The sequence below is a fragment of the Homo sapiens genome, chromosome 15, assembly GCF_000001405.40.
Source record: "Homo sapiens chromosome 15, GRCh38.p14 Primary Assembly".
Taxonomy (NCBI): Eukaryota; Metazoa; Chordata; class Mammalia; order Primates; family Hominidae; genus Homo; species Homo sapiens.
In genome coordinates this window covers 65800563-65818363 of record NC_000015.10, presented here as the reverse complement: position 1 = coordinate 65818363, position 17801 = coordinate 65800563, and the positions used below count along the sequence as shown (strand labels likewise).

The following is a 17801-nucleotide window of genomic DNA, read 5'->3' as shown; positions in this document are numbered from 1 at the left end:
CCCAATAAAGCTTGGACCCTTTAGGTGGAGATGAAAACCAGCATATCCATTCATCCTCAGGGTACTGCACAAAAAGTTCCTGTGGAACTAAGTAGAACTAAGTACTAAAAAATACTGTCACTGAAAGACTGACTTGTGATGATCTACAGCCAAAACAGGTTCATAAAAGCCTCAAGCTATTACTCTAAGTTGAGTAGGCAGGCCCCAGGTGCGTGGAAGAAACAAATACAAATCTTCTCTGGAGGAAGGTACCTCAATAACTCACAAATTATTTTCTAAGAAAATTGAGCAGCTCACAGTAACAAACATTAAGCACTCAAAGAAATGCTACTATATAAATGAAAACCAGAAGAAAGAAGAAATCACATACAATAGAATTAAATGGAAAACATCTACAAATATTTGAGAAATTTAAATTATCACACATACAAGGTGAAAAAAACATTTTACTTCTTTTTTTTTTTTTTTGAGACAGAGTTTTGCTCTTGTTGCCCAGGCTGGGTGCAATGGCGCGATCTTGGCTCACAGCAACCTCCACCTCCTGGGTTCAAGCGATTCTCCTGCCTCAGCCTCTGGAGTAGCTGGGAGTAGTCATGCACCACCACGCCTGGCTACTTTTGTATTTTTAGTAGAGATGGGGTTCCTCCACTTTGGTCAGGCTGGCCTCGAACTCCCGACCTCAGGTGATCCACACTCCTCAGCCTCCCAAAATGCTGGGATTACAGGCATGAGCCACCGTGCCTGGTCACCATTTTACTTATTTAAGAAAAAAAAAAATACAAAGTAGAAAATACCTATTTATTAGGCTCATGAACCCCACGGAGGGAGCATCGTTAAAGTCTCTCTTCCCCCTGCCATCATGTCTAAGGCGGAGTTTCCTAAAGAACCAGAACAGCAGAGGAAGCTCTTCACTGGAGGGTTGAGCTTGGAATGAGAGCCTGAGGAGCCATTTTGAGCAATGGGGAACGCTCACAGACTGTGTGGTAATGAGAGATCCAAGCACCAAGCGCTCCAGGGGCTTAGGGTTTGTCACATATGCCCCTGTGGAGGCAGTGGATGCAGCCGTGAATGCAAGGCCACGCAAGGTGGATGAAAGAGCTGTGGAAACAGAGAGCTGTCTCAAGAGAAGATTCTCAAAGACCCAGTGCCCACTTAACTGTGAAAAAGATATTTGTTGGTGGCATTAAAGAAGACACAGGGCCTGGCCCAGTGGCTCACGCCTATAATCCCAGCACTTTGGGAGGCTAAGGTGGGCGGATCACCTGAGGTCGGGAGTTCAAGACCAGTCTGACCAACATGGAGAAACCCAGTCTCTACTAAAAATACAAAATTAGCCGGGTGTGGTGGCGCATGCCTGTAATCCCAGCTACTCCGGGAGGCTGAGGCAGGAGAATCGCTTGAACCTGGGAAGCGGAGGTTGTGGTGAGCCGAGATTGCACCATTGCACTCCAGCCTGGGCGACAGAGTGAAACTCCGTCTCAAAAAAAAAAAAAAAAAAAGACACTGAAGAACAGCACCTAAGAGATTATTTTGAACAGTATGGAAAAATTGAAGTGATTGAAATCATGACTGACCGAGTCAGTGGCAAGAAAAGGGGCTTTGCCTTTATAACCTTTGACTACCATGACTCTGTGGATAAGACTGTCATTCAGAAATAACCATACTGTGAAGTTAGGAAAGCCCTGTTAAAGCAAGAGATGGCTGGTGCTTCAGCCAGCCACAGAGGTCAAAGTGGCTCTGGAAACTTTGGTGGTAGTCATGGAGGTAGTTTCGGTGGGAATGACAATTTTGGTCATGGAGGAAACTTAAGTGGTCTTGGTGGCTTTAATGACAGCTCTGGTGGTGGTGGATATGGTGGCAGTGGGGATGGGTATAATGGATTTAGTAATGATGGAAGCAATTTTGGGGGTGGTGGAAGCTACGATGATTTTGGCAATTACAACAATCGGTCTTCAAATTTCAGACCCATGAAGGGAAGAAACTTTGGAGGCAGAAGCTCTGGCCCCTATGGTGGTGGAGGCCAATACTTTGCCCAACCACGAAACCAAGGTGGCCGTGGCGGTTCCAGTAGCAGCAGTAGCTATGGCAGTGGCAGAAGATTTTAATTAGGAAACAAAGCTTAGCAGGAGAGGAGAGCCAGAGAAGTGACCCAGTGGAGCTACAGCTTACAATAGATTCATCAACTCAGCCAAGTACCGTGGTGGCAGGGCCCAGCTGCTACAAAGAAGACATATTTTAGACAAATACTCATGTGGATGGGCAAAAAACTCAAGGACTGTATTTGTGACTAATTATGCATAACAGCTTATTTTAGTTTCTCTTCTGTGGAAAGTATAAAGCATTCCAACAAAGGGTTTTAATGTAGATTTTTTTTTTTTTTTGCACCCATGCTGTTCATTGCTAAATGTAATAGTCTGATCATGACACTCAATAAATGTGTCTTTTTTTTTTTTTAAAGTGCTGTGTAAAGTTAGTCTACTCTGAAGCCATCTTGGTAAATTTCCCCAACAGTATGAAGTTAGAATTCCTTCAGGTGACGCCAGGTTCTTTTTTTTTTTTTTTTTTTTGAGACGGAGTTTCCCTCTTGTTGCCTAGGCTGGAGTGCAATGACACGATCTCGGCTCAACGCAACCTCCGCCTCCAGGGTTCAAGCGATTCTCCTGCCTCAGCCTCCTGAGTAGCTGGGATTACAGGCATGCGGCACCATGCCCAGCTAAATTTTGTATTTTTTTTTTTTTTGAGGTGGAGTCTCGCTCTGTTGCCCAGGCTGGAGTGCAATGGTGCGATCTCGGCTCACTGAAAGCTCCGCCTCCCGAGTTCACGCCATTCTCCTGCCTCAGCCTCCCAAGTAGCTGGGACTACAGGCGCCCGTCACCACGCCCAGCTAATTTTTTTGGTATTTTTAGTAGAGACGGGGTTTCTCCATGTTGGTCAGGCTGGTCTTGAACTCCTGACCTCAGGTGATCCACCCGCCTTGGCCTCCCAAAGTGCTGGGATTACAGGCGTGAGCCACCGTGCCTGGCCTGACGCCAGGTTCTATTTGGAATTTATATGCAACCTGCTTGGGTGGAAAAGCCGTTGTCTTCACAAACCTTGGTATAGTTGAACTGATAGTTACTGTTGTGACCTGAAGTTCATCATTAAAAGGGATTACTCAAGCAAAATCATGGAATTATTGGTTATAGAAATGATTGTTGGCAGGGTGTGGTGGCTCACGCCTCTAATCCCAGTACTTTGGGAGGCCGAGGCAGGCGGATCAGGAGGTCAGGAGATCCAGACCATCCTGGGCAACAAGGTGAAACCATGTCTCTACTAAAAATACAAAAAAAAAAAAAAATTAGCTGAGCATGGTGGCCTGTGCCTGTACTCCCAGCTACTCCAGAGGCTGAGGCAGGAGAATCCCTTGAACCCAGGAGGTGGAGGGTGCAGTGAGCTGATATCGCTCCACCGCTCTCCAGCCTACGTGACAGAGTGAGACTCCGTCTCAAAAAAAAAAAAAAAAGATTGTTGGCACATCCTATGCAATGTATCTAAATTGAATAATGGTACCAGATAAAATTATAGATGGGAATGAAGTTTGTGTGTCATCCATTATCATGTGTAATCAATAAACGATTTAATTCTCTTGACAAAAAAAAAAAGAAGAAAGAAAATACCTATTTAAGGCTGACATGGTGGCTCACTCCTTTAATCACAGTACTATGGGAGGCCAAGGCAAGAGGATTGCTTGAGCCCAGGAGTTCCAGACCATCCTGGGCAACATGGTGAAACCCCATCTCTACCAAAAATACAAAAATTAGCCAGGTGTGGTGGCACACGCCTGTAGTCCCAGCTACTTGGGGTGCTGAGGTGGGAGGAACGCTTGAGCCCAAGGAGGTCGAGGGTGCACTCCAGTCTGGGTGACAGAGTGAGAACCTGTCTCAAAAAAAAAAAAAAAAAAAAAAGGAACAGAAAATACCTATTTAAAACAGGAAACTATAGAAAATAGCCTAATAGTTTTAAAAAATAGAACTTCTAGAAATGAAATGAATAAAATAATGGACAAGTTTAACCTCAGATTACATACAAGTGAACAGAAAAATAAACGAACTGAATGATATGACAATAGAAAATTATCCAGCCTTCAGTAAAGAAAGACAAGAAGAAGGGAAACATGAAAGAGCAGTAAATAGATATGGAGGATAAATTAAGACAATCTAACATGTATTGATAAATTTGGAGTTCTGGAGGGCAAGGAGAGAGAAAATGGTAAAGAAGTAATTTTTTTTTTTTTTAAGTTAAGTTCTTGCTCTGCTGCTCAGGCTGGAGTGCAGTGGCACAACCATGGCTCACTGCAGCCTTGAACTCCTGGGCTCAAGCGATCCTCCCACCTCAGCCTCCCGAGTAGCTGGGACCACAGGCATGTGCCAACATGCCTAGCTAATTAAAACATTTATTTTCTGTAGAGACGGGGCCTCACTATGTTACCCAGGTTCCTCTTGAGCTCCTGGGCTCAAGTCATTCTACTGCCTTGGCCTCCCAAACTGTTGGGATTATAGGTGTGAGCCACCATGCCTGGCCAAAAGGGTAATATTTGAAGAGACAGTAGCTAAGAAATTTTTAGGACCAATCTGTTTAAAAACACAGATTTAAGAAGTCCACTGAATTTCAACCAGGATTGAAAAAAAAAGTATTTTCAGTTAAACACAACATAGTGAAACAACAGCATACCAGAGACAAATGATCTCAGAAGCTGATTGACTGCTGACTTCACAAGAGAAAAAAATAAGTGCGAACTTAGAATTTTACCCCTCAAAAAATAGCTTTTGGCCAGGCACAGTGGCTCATGCCTGTAATCCTAGCACTTTGGGAGGCCGAGGTGGGTGAATCACTTGAGGTCAGGAGTTTAAGACCAAACTGGCCAACATGGTGAAACTCTGCCTCTACTAAAAATACAAAAATTAGCCAGGTGTGGTGGCGTGCACCTATAATCCCAGCTACTCGGGAGTTTGAGGTGCGAGAATTGCTTGAACCCGGGAGGCGGAGGCTGCAGTGAGCCAAGATTGAGCCACTGCACTCCAGCCTAGCCCACAGAGCAAGAATCCATCTCAAAAAAAGAATAAATAAATAAATAAATAAAAAGTTCAAAAAGGAAGATGAAAAACAGGCATTTAAGGCAAATTAAGTGAGAGATTTTGCTTCCACAATATTCATAAAAGGAAGTTCTAAAGAATGTACTTAAGAAACTGATCCTGGCTGGGTGTAGTGACTCCCTTGACTCACGGAGTTTGAGGCTGCAGTGAGTCCTGATGACACCACTGTACTCCAGCCTGGGCAAGAGAGTGAGACCTTTATTTCAAAAAAAAAACAAGCAGGATTTAAAAGGTCTGGGGGAAGGCCTAACAATTTATATTTATAACAAGCTCCCAGCTTGATACTAATTATTTAAGACCATGCTTTTTCTTTTCATTTTTCTTTTTTTTTTTTTTTTTTTTTTTAGACAGGGTCTCACTCTATCGCCCCGACTGGAGTGCAATGGTATGATCACAGCTCACTGCAGCCTTGAACTCCCAGGCTCAAGTGATTCTCCTGCCTCAGCCTTCCAAGTAGCTGGGACTACAGGCATGTGCCATCATGCTGGGTTAATTTTTTGTTTTATTTTTTGTAGAGATGAGGTCTCACTGTGTTGCCCAGGCTGGTATTGAACTCTTGTGCTCAAAGGATCCTCCCACCTCAGCCCCACAAAGTGTTGAGATTATAGGTGTGAGCCACCGTCCCGGGCCTAAAACCACACTTTAAATAGCACTGTTGATGAGCCATGAAAAGAAAGCAAAAACTGAGTATAAATTGCAAACTAGTAGAGGAGGAAAAGTTGAAATGAAAAAGAAAATAATTCAAAAGAAAGCAAAGAAGGAAAGTAAACTAGAACAGAAGGAACATGCAGAAAGCACAAAATAGGATGATGGTAGCTGGGCGCGATGGCTCATGCCTGTAATCCCAGCACTTTGGGAGGCCGAGGCGGGCAGATCACGAGGTCAGGAGATCGAGACCATCCTGGCTAACACGGTGAAACCCCATCTCTACTAAAAATACAAAAAATTAGCCGGGCGAGGTGGCTGGCGCCTGTAGTCCCAGCTACTTGGGAGGCTGAGGCAGGAGAATGGCCTGAATCTGGGAGGCAGAACTTGCAGTGAGCCGAGATAGCGCCACTGCACTCTGGCCTGGGCGACAGAACAAGCATCTGTCCAAAAAAAAAAAAAAAAAAAAAATAGGATGATAGTTACAAATTCAAATATATCAGCAATTACATTAAATATAAAAGAATTAAATTATCCAATTAAAAGACAAAGACTGATACAAAAAATAAACTCAAAATGCATCATAGACTCAAATAAAACTTTTAGAATAAAATATAGGAAAAATATATATGCAACTTTGGGTTAGGCAAAGAGTTATTAGATAGAATATCAAAAACATGATCCATAGAAGCAAAGCTGACAATTTGGATTTCATCAAAACAAAAATTTTGTATTATGCCTGTAATCCCAGCACTTTGGGAGGCCGAGGCAGGTGGATCATTGAGGTCAGGAGTTCAAGACCAGCTTAGTCAACATGGTGAAATCCCGTTTCTACTAAAAATACAAAAATTAGCTGGGCATGGTGGCACATGCCTGTAGTCCCAGATACTTGGGAGGCTGAGGCGGGAGAATGGGTTGAATCTGGGAGGCAGAGGTTACAGTGAGCCAAGATTGAGCCATTGTGCTCCAGCTTGGGTGACAGAGCGAGACTTCATCTCAAAAAAAAAAAAAAAAAAAAAAAAAAGACACTCTTAAGAGAATGAAAAGACAACTCATACAGAGAGAGAAAATATTTCTCCTTCTCTGTCTTCTCTGTCTTGCAGATATGCAAATCACATAACTGACATTTGACTTGTGTCCAGAATATATAAAGAACTCCCAAAACTTGACAATAAGAAAACAAACAGCCCAGTAAAATAATGGACAAAAGACTTGAGTAGACATTTAACCAAAGAAGAGGCATGGCTGAAAAACAGACACATGAAAAGTTGTTTAACAACATTAGTCATTAGAGAAATGCAAATTAAAACCACAAAAAATACTACTACACAACTGTCAGAATAACTAAAATAAACAATCTGACAATTCCAAGCACTTGTGAAAATAGGGAGCTACTGGTTTCTCTCATACATTGATAATAGCAATGGATAGTGATACAGACACTCTAGAAAACAGTTGGGCAGTTTTTTGTTTTGTTTTTTCTTTTTTCTTTTTGAAACAGTCTTGCTCTGTCACCCAGGCTGGAATACAGTGGCGTGATCTCAGCTCACTGCAACCTCCACCTCCCGGTTCAAGTGATTCTCCTGTCTCAGCCTCCCAAGTAGCTGGGACTACAGGCACTTGCCACCACACCCAGCTAATTTTTGTATTTTTAGTAGAGGTGGGTTTTTACCATCTTGGCCAGACTAGTCTTGAACTGCTGACCTCAAATGATCCACCAACCTCGGCCTCCCAAAGTGCTGGGATTACAGGCATGAGCCACTGTGCCTGGCCGGCAGTTTTAAAAATAAAGTTAAATGGCCGGGCGCAGTGGCTCACGCCGGTAATCCCAGCACTTTGGGAGGCTGAGGCAGGTGGATCACGAGGTCAGGAGATCGAGACCATCCTGGCTAACATGGTGAAACCCCGTCTCTACTAAAAAGACAAAAAGAATTAGCCAGGCGTGGTGGCGGGAGCCTGTAGTGCCAGCTACTCGGGAGGCTGAGGTAGGAGAATGGTGTGAACCTGGGAGGCGGAGCTTGCAGTGAGCCGAGATCGCGCCACTGCCCACCAGCCTGGGCGACAGAGTGCCACTGCCCACCAGCCTGGGCAACAGAGCGAGACTCCGTCTCAAAAAAAAAAAAAATACAGTTAAACATAGAATTACCTGAGGCCTAGCACTCTCACTTCTAGGTATTTACCATAGTGAAGTTAAAATTGTTCACCTGAAAATCTGAACACAAATGTTTGTGGGTTGCTTTATTTGTTTATTTTATTCTAACAGTTGTGTAGTAGTATTTTTTGTGGTTTTAATTTGCATTTCTCTAATGACTAATGTTGTTAAACAACTTTTCATGTGTCTGTTTTTCAGCCATGCCTCTTCTTTGGTTAAATGTCTACTCAAGTCTTTTGCCCATTATTTTACTGGGCTGTTTGTTTTCTTATTGTCAAGTTTTGGGAGTTCTTTATGTATTCTGGACACAAGTCAAATGTCAGTTATGTGATTTGCATATCTGCAAGACAGAGAAGACAGAGAAGGAGAAATATTTTCTCTCTCTGTATGAATTGTCTTTTCATTCTCTTAAGAGTGTCTTTTTTTTTTTTTTTTTTTTTTTTTTGACATGAAGTCTCGCTCTGTCACCCAGGCTGGAGCACAATGGCACAATCTCAACTCACTGCAATTGAGTTGAATTCAATTGCACCTCCCGGGTTCAAGCGATTCTCCTGTCTCAGCCTAAGGTGTAGCTGGGACTATAGGTGCCTGCCACCACACCCACCTAATTTTGGTATTTTTAAGTAGAGATGGGGTTTTACCATGTTGGCCAGGCTGGTCTCGAACTGCTGACCTCAAATGATCCACCCACCTCAGCCTCCCAAAGTGCTGGGATTACAGGCGTGAGCCACCGTGCTTGGCTGGCAGTTTTAAAAATACAATTAAACACAGAATTACCCGAGGCCCAGCACTCTCACTCCTAGGTATTTACCATAGTGAAGTTAAAATTGTTCACTGAAAATCTGAACACAAATGTTTGTGGTAGCTTTGTTTGTCATAACCAAAACCTGGAAATAGCCCAGATGTCCCTCAACTGGTGAATGGATAAACTGTAGCACATCCATATGATGAAATGCCAAGAGTAATAAAAAAGGAATGAGGCCAGGAGCAGTGGCTCACACCTGGATCTCAATACTTTGGGAGGCCAAGGCGGACGCGTCACTTGAGGTCAGGAGTTTGAGACCAGCCTGGCCAACATAGTGAAAGCCCGTCTCTACTAAAAATACAAAAATTAGCTGGGCATGGTGGAGCACGCCTGTAAGCCCAGCTACTCGGGAGGCTGAGGCAGGAGAATTGCTTGAGCCTGGGAGGCAGAGGTGGCAATGAGCCAAGAACGTGTCACTGCACTCCAGCCTGGGCAACAGAGTGAAGCTCTGTCTCAAAAAAATAAGATAAAATAAATAAGGAATGAGTTCTTCAGCAGTCAGGTCCTGCCTGTGAAAAACCACTGCACTCCAGCCAGGGCAACATAGTAAGATACCACCTCTTTTTAAATATAAATTACTATTTTTTTTTTATTTTTTGCGACAAGGGTCTCACTCTGTTGCCTAGGCTGGAGGGCAGTGGCATGATCTTGGCTCACTGCAGCCTCTACCTCTCGGGCTCAAGCAATCCTCCCACCTCAGCCTCTCAAGTAGCTGGGACCACAGGTGTGTGCCACTATGCCAACTAATTTTTGTATTTTTTGTAGAGATGGGGTTTCACCATGTTGCCCAGGTTGGTCTCAAACACCTGACCTCAGGCAATCCGCCCGCCTCAGCCTCCCAAAGTGCTGGGATTACAGGCATGAGCCACAGTATCCAGCTATTATCTTTTTTGCAGAACCTTTAAAAAATATATTTTTAGGCCAGGCACAGTGGCTCACACCTGTAAACCCAGTACTTTGGGAGGCTGAGATGGGGGGATCACAACGTCAGGAGTTCAAAAGCCTGGCCAACATAGTGAAACCCTGTCTTTACTAAAAATGCAAAAATTAGCTGAGTGTGGTGGCACACGCCTGTAGTCCCAGCTACTCAGGAGGCTGAGGCAGGAGAATTGCTTGAACCCGGGAGGTGGAGGTTGCAGTGAGCCGAGACCACACCATTGCACTCCAGCCCAGGGGACAGAGTGAGACTGTCTCAAGAAAAAAAAATATACATATAATATATATATAATATGTATACATATTATATGTATATACATATTATATATATAATATGTATACATATAATATGTATATACATATTATATATATAATATGTATATACATATTATATATATAATATGTATATACATATAATATATAATATATATTATAATACATATAATATATATAATATATGTATACATATATATAATATGTATATATATTATATATATTTTAAAAAGGAATGCACTCTTGAAACACACAAGAATATGAATGAATCTGCAAAGCATTTTGCAGGCAGGGCACAGTGGCTAATGCCTGTAATCCCAGCACTTTGGGAGGCTGAGGTGGGAGGACTGCTTGAGCCCAAGAGTTTGAGACCAACCTGGGCAATATGGCGAGACTCCATCTCTACAAAAAATAAAATAAAAATATTAGGTGAGCACAGTGGCATATGCCTGTGGTCCCAGCTACACAGGAAGCTGAGGTGGGAGGATCACTTGAGCCCAGGAAGTCAAGACTGCAGTGAGCAGTGTTCATACCACTGCACTCCAGCCTGGGCGACCGAACAAGACTCTGTCTCAAAAACAAAAACAAAAACTTCTGCTAAGTGAAAGAAGCCAGATTCAAAAGACTACATATTGTACTATTCCATTTATATGACATTCTGGAAAAGGTAAAACTATAGGAGCAGAGAACAGATAAGTGATTGCCTGGGCTTGGGGGTGGGGTGGGGGTTCAATCACAAAGGGGTAGGTAGCACAAGAGAATTTTCATGGAGTGTGTTCATGTCTTGATTGTGGCAGTGGTTTCAATACTCTCTGCATTTGCAAAAAAAAAAAATTAAATTTTTTTTTTTTTGAGAAAGAGTTTCGCTCTTGTTGCCCAGGCTGGAGTGCAGTGGTGCAATCTTGGCTCACTGCAACCTCTGCCTTCCAGGTTCAAGCAATTCTCCTGCCTCAGCATCCCGAGTAGCTGGGACTACAGGCGTGCGCCACCACGCCCAGCTAATTTTTTCTTTTTTGTATTTTTAGTAGAGGCAGGGTTTCTTTCACCATGTTGGCCAGGCTGTAATCCCAGTACTTTGGGAGGCCAAGGTGTATGGATGACCTGAGGTCAGGAGTTCAAGACAAGGCTGGCCAACATGGTGAAATCCCGTCTCTACTAAAAATACCAAAAAAAAAAAAAAAAAAAAATTAGCCAGGCATGGTGGTGCGAGCCAGTAGTCCCAGCTACTCGGGAGGCTGAGGCAGGGAGAATCAATTGAACCCGGGAGGCAGAGGTTGCAGTGAGCCGAGATCATGCCAGTGCACTCTAATCTGGGTGACAACAGAGTAAGACTCTGTCTCAAAAAAAAAAAAAAAAAAAAAAAAGACAAAGATTTTCAGACTGGGTAAAAATACAATGTCAGGGTCTCTGACAGTATCTTTTGGCAAAAGGCAAACTTGCTAAAAAAAAAAAAGTTCAATTCTCATTCTTACAAGATTATGCACGAAACCCCATTATTTAAAAATGAAAAGTATTTCTATTTTTAGATTGCTAATATGTAGCAGCAAATAAAAAATCCATACATATCACACTCAAATACATATGTACCACAGTTCTGTGTGTCTTATAAAACTGTAAAACATATGGAGATTAAGAATCAAAGAGGCGGTTGAATTTTATGTCTAAAACAGCAAAACAAGTCTCTGAATTTTTCCCTTTTCATCCAGCTGTTTTGCCATCATAGAGCTAATTTTAGAAGGCGTAATCTTCTTATAAAATACATGTAGTTAAGAAAAGTAGTGGGTTTTTTTGTGACTTCTAATTCAGAGTTGTACAGGGTGCTTGGTTTCTGAACTAAGCCAGCAGACCGAGAATAATCTGAATCATAAGTCTAAGGCTAAGCCAAGAAACTTTTAGCTAAAGAATCATAGTGAGCTTCATAAGAGTTGAACTCCAGATCCTTTTTATTAATGGGCTTTAAAATGCAGGTAAACTTCCAAACAAAGTTTTCCCTCAATCTGGGAAAAACAAAATGAAAATCATAATGTGTGATTCTTTCCTGCAAGTTGAATGACTACGTTTGCTCTGTAATGCATGTAAGAGGAATATACATGGTTGTTTATTCTTGCTGGAGACTTCAATAGTTGCTTTCATTTGCTTTCTTTTTCTGATGAGAATCAGCAACATGGACACACTGCCATTTTTTTGAGCAATAGTATTTTTTTTAAGCAATAGTATTTTTTTTAATGTAAAGAGTCAAACCCAAAGAGACCAATCCAAATGAAATAATTTAGACCACAAAGTCCAGACTAATTTTCCCCATTTCTCAAAATAACTAGAACTGAGTACACATCAAATCTTCACTTTTCTTTGTATTATATAGACACTGTCACAAATGCAAGAGATTCTTCACTTTTCAGGTCAAATTTTCACCATCCTTTGGTCCTGTTATATGTAACAAGTGAACAATCACTTTTCATTAACTATGAATCAAAATAGATTAAGTGAAGACAATTTTATGTAACTCCTCACAGCTTCAAGTGCTATATAAGGAAGGATTTAAGAGTGCTTATAACAGCTTATTCGGTACATGACTTTCCATTAAACTACTTAACACAAATCTTAATTTATAGAAAAATTCAACCAATGCCAAGATCACCTAAAGTAAGTTATTCCAACCAGTCAAGAAACCAAAAATCTTGTATAGAAAAAAAAAAAAAAAGAGCAAAGGAAACTGGTATTCTATATTGCCCCAGAATCGTGCTTATTCTGAGGGTTCAGTTTCACCTAATTGTCCTAAAATAGTGCCCCCAGTCACACGATTAAAACTATTTGATAGAGCATGAGACTGATGATTGGCTGGATGCACTGTGTGTGGTTAGGAAAGCCCTATTACTGAACTGTTGGCCACCGGCGTGTGACATTTATAAGAAGGTGGGCAATCTACCCACAATTGCTGAAAAAAAAACTTTAAAAAAATTCTTCAAGTTTCCACATTAAAAATAACCTTATGCATGTAGGAATGGAGAAAATGTGGAAGAGTTACTCCCATTAGGCTGGCCTTGAGTGGATATGCTGTGTTTACACAATATTTTGAGATGGCCAGATAAGCAGTACTAATGGCAGCATATTACACAGTTATCATGAACCATGTGTAGCCTAAGGAGAATTTTCAGTGTATCAGGGTGGCCCACATGCTGCTATTTATCATTTCAATTTCATATCAGAATCAAAACTGAGGAAAAAGAAAACACTTTGAAACCCAAGCAAGTCATCTGGGGCCTGAGTAATGAGGCCTCTTGAAAAAAAAAATGAGAGAGAAAGAGATTAACACATTTTTGACAAACAGGCTTTGGCTTCAGAGCACTATTGCAGCTGTTAAATTCACATGCTGATGGAGTTCAGGTACGTAGACATTTACAGTAAGTTTTTACCAATGACTTTTACCAAGTAGTTGCACACATACATTTTCTGAAGCTGCATTTTAGTGACTAAAGTAACACTTTAGACAACAGGATTATGTCTTAGTTGCACTGCTATGTCTGAATAGTACAGCAATTGAGAACTCTGATATAAAGAGGGTAAACTGCCACTTAAAGAGTAACATTCTCCTGAAAAAGGCAATAGCTTTCCTTAATAAGAAGCAACACATGAAGTCTAGCAGGCATTGTTTCATATATTCCATTTTGATTGCTTAAGTTTTCAACTGGGCAGTATTCTATTTCAAGGCCATACTGTTGCAAAACCTTGTTCTGTGGTTGTAACATAGCTGCTGTGACTGTTGCAAACCGAGAAGACAGCACACAGAGAGAGAGAGAGAGAGAGATTAGGAGAAAAAAGGATTCTTTATATATTTATTTATTTTTGAGACAGGGTCTCATTCTGTTGCCCAGGCTGGAGTGCAGTGGTGCTATCATAGCTCATTGCAGCCTCAACCTCCTGGGTTCAAGCAATACTCCCATCTTCAGCCTCATGTGTAGCTGGGACTATAGGCATACACTATTATGCCCAGCTAACTTTTTCATTTTTAGTAGAGATGGGGGTTTCACTATGTTGCCCAGGCTGGTCTTGAACTCCTTAACTCAAGCAGTCCTCTCACCTGAGCCTCTCAAAGTTCTGGGATTACAGGTGTGAGTCACCACACCTGGCCCAGGAGAAAAAGTATTCTATGTAACTTTCACATGAAGGTCTTTTAGTAAATAACCAGTTTTTTTGGTTGTTGTTGTTGTTTTGAGACAAGTCTCACTCTCTTGCCCAGGCTAGAGTACAGTGGCACAATCATGGCTCACTGTAGCCTCCACCTCCTGGGGCTCAGGTGATCCTCCCACCTCAGCCTCCCAAGTAGCTGAGATCACAGGCGTGGACCACCACACCTGGATAATTTTTTTAAAAATTTTTTTGTAGAGACAGAGTTTTGCCATGTTGCTCAGGTTGGTCTCGAACTCCTAGGCTCAAGTGATCCACCTGCCTCAGCCTCCCAAAGTGTTGAGATTGCAGGTGTGGCTAGGCATGGTGGTTCTCAGCAACTTGGGAGGCCGAGGTGGGTGGATCGCCTGAGGTCAGGAGTTCGAGACCAGCCTGGCCAACATGGTGAAACCCCCGTCTCTACTAAAAATATAAAAGTATTAGTTGGGCATGGTGGCACGGGCCTATAATCCCAGCTACTTGGGAGGCTGAGGCAGGAGAATCACTTGAACCTGGGAGGTGGAGGTTGCAGTGAGCCGATATCGTGCCACTGCATTCTAGCCTGGACAACAAGAGGGAAACTTCATCTAAAAAAAAAAAAGATTACAGGTGTGAGCCACTGAGCCTGTAAAACAAAAAAATTATAAGTTCTCTGAGCTTCTACCCTGAATGAGCCCTGTTTTTAATAAAGATTAAGGTGGTTGGTTCCTGCAGAGACTCTACAGCTTAGGATAAAACAGGATTAAAGGCAAGTACTCATATAAATAAATGACTGTCTTTTTTATAATATGAGAAAATTATGAAGACGAATGGAATAACAACAGTTGATCATCATTTATCGAGTACCAATAAGGTATATGATCCTACACAATTCCTTTTGAGGTTTCATGGTTTGAGATGGGGTTTAGGAATAAAAATGAGAAACAAGAAATCTATCACATAAACTAATTGTCTTGGGTCAATGTTATTATTGGCTGATTGAGGAAAGGGAATATGTCTTTGGAATTTCCTTTGTAAATGCCTACTTGTGTGGATATATATAGACATGTGAATGTTTTTGATGATGATAATTAACAATCATCCTATACAAACACATAGGTTGTTATAAACTATGTACTTAAGAACTGGGACAACTGTTCACAAAATGAGTGACACGTAGTGTAATAAAAGAGCTGATTTGTCCTTCAAACAATTATAGGCTTGATTATAAAATACTCAAAAGCGGGGAATGATTAATATATAGTTGGGTTTGTTTTTGGAGTGGAAGGAAGGTAGTTAGTTAAAAAGCAAACAAACAAAAAATAGTCAGGGTTTTCTCCCCAGTATCCCTGAATCTGGACTAGGATTTGTTAATATCTTAACAATTTCTCAGTTGTGAATAAAACAAAAAACAAAGCAAAACAAAAAAATAAAACAACAACAAAAAAACAGTCCTTCCATGAGTTACCTCATGTCCAGGCCTTCTACTCAAGTCCTCATCCTATGCAAAAATTCTCTTTCCTTGATTTAGAGATGGGGTTTCACTATGTTGCTCAGGCTGGTCTCAAACTCCTGGGCTCAGGCACACCTCAGCCTCCTAAGTAGCTGTGACTACAGGAGCCTCCCACCATGCCCAGCTGGCTAAAAATAAAATTCCTTTTCCTACTCCCTCTGAAGTTATAGATTTTTGTTTGTTTGTTTTTTAATAGAGACAGGGTCCCACTCTGTCACCCAGACTGGAGTGCAGTGGTGCGATCATGGCTTTCTTCATCCTTGAACTCCTGGGCTCAAGTGATCCTCCTGCCTCAGCCTTCCCAGTAGGTAGGACTACTGGCATATACCACCATGCCCAGCTAAAGTTATATATATATATATTTTATATATATTTTTATATATTTTAAATATATAAAATATACATAATATATATTTTATATATTTTTATATATTTTATATATTTTAAATATATAAAATATATTTTATATATTTATATATTTTTATATATATAATATATTTTATATATTTATAACATAAATATATTTTATATATTTATAACATAAATATATTTTATATATTTATAACATAAATATATTTTATATATATATTATAAATATATATTATATATTTATATATTTATATATATAATATATATTATATATATTATATATTATATATTATATATTATATATAATATATTATATATATATTTATATATATATATTATATATATTATATATATATTTAATATATTATATATATTATATATATTATATATATATTTATATATATTATATATATTATATATAATATATATATATTATATATATATAATATATATATATATTTTAAAAGGACCTTACAAAAGTTTCCCAGAGGTATCTGCACAGTTTTTGAAAAAAATTAGCATTGTAACTCCCTATTTCAAAAAATTTAGGCCAAAAAGAAAAATATTGAGTGAGGTTTCTTAGGTCCCAGGTATGAAGCTTCCTAGGAATGATAGGCTAATAATCATGGTACAAAGCTTTGCATAGTCTCTTCCAAACAAAACATATATCACTAGTGTCTTTCTTGTTTCAGTCCTGGAAAATGACAAATTTTACTCGACAGCTGGTTAACATATGGAACAAAACCTTGTCTCACAGGCAGTGCACTCATTTAAGCCATACATCTTTCTCTCTTAATTCAAAGTGACAGTAGTGACAAGAGCAAAGTTTTTTGGAAGATATTTTCAGAGCCACTCTAGTTAGCAGCTTAGTTACATCCAGTCTAGATGGCATTCTTGTTTACCCATGTGAACTTCTGCTTCAGTTATTCAAATTCTTTGAATTCCTCAGTTCTGAGAACTGGGGTGGGCATTATCGATTTTTCCCAAAACTTTCATCTGTAACTATTTCCAATAGACTCTAATCCCCAAATGTGCTGGTTTCCACTTCCCTGTTGCTTTGGAAAACTCTATATAACATCAGTTAGAGTCTATTTTGCATTTGGTAGTTCCTTATAAACAGTTTCACTGTGTTCTCTAGGTATGAATATTTGTTTTACATTGATTGTTTTTAGACATAGGACTTACTAACATTCTAAAATTCTGCTTTTTCTTAAATATGTGCCTTAGTTGAAGTACTAATAAAGCTTCTATATTAGATTTTGTAGTTCATAGTAAATTTACATAGGCAATGTGTTAGACTTTGCATACGTTTTGTAGAAAAATAAAACCAAACCTAAGTAAGTAAAATAAAGGGTCAACTAAACAATCCAGCAGCAAACTCTCCTAAAGCTGCAACCACTTCTTACCCTAAATTATAGTTTCACTACTGGCCATACTTTCATTCTGCTTACTTTTTTTAGTTTCTTCCTTAGATCTATTCCTTACGTATATTTACAGATTGCAACACTAACCTCTACTGACTTTCTCCTTCTAATGCAACTTGGCCAGTTTCACTGAACTCTTTTTTTCTTTCTTTCTTTTTTTCTTTTCCGTTTTTTAGATGGAGTCTTACTCTGTCGCCCAGGCTGGAGTGCAGTGGCACGATCTTGGCTCACTGCAACCTCCGCTTCCCAGGTTCAAGCGATTCTCCTGCCTCAGCCTCCTGAGTAGCTGGGATTATAGGGGCACACCACCACGCCGGCTAATTTTTGTATTTTTAGTAGGCACAAGGTTTCACCATGTTGGCCAGGATGGTCTTGATCTCCTGACCTCATGATCCACGCGCCTTGGCCT

The 17801-nt window shown here is 40.4% G+C and overlaps 1 long non-coding RNA gene and 1 pseudogene across 2 annotated transcripts in view, besides 1 other annotated feature; one reads left to right on the top strand and one right to left on the bottom strand.

The window, feature by feature from the left end:
* The window catches only part of LOC105370866 (uncharacterized), a 68011-nt gene that overhangs the window by 42120 nt on the left and 8090 nt on the right, over positions 1 to 17801 (bottom strand). The window lies entirely within an intron of this gene.
* On the top strand, positions 806 to 2502 carry HNRNPA1P44 (heterogeneous nuclear ribonucleoprotein A1 pseudogene 44; annotated as a pseudogene).
* Positions 8371 to 8535: a silencer, noted in NCBI's record as "fragment chr15:66102167-66102331 (GRCh37/hg19 assembly coordinates)". NCBI's record gives its function as "represses an EF-1alpha promoter that drives an FKBP-Casp9 reporter gene in an ReSE screen in HepG2 liver carcinoma cells {active_cell/tissue: HepG2}" and the evidence as "EXISTENCE:reporter gene assay evidence [ECO:0000049][PMID:32094911]".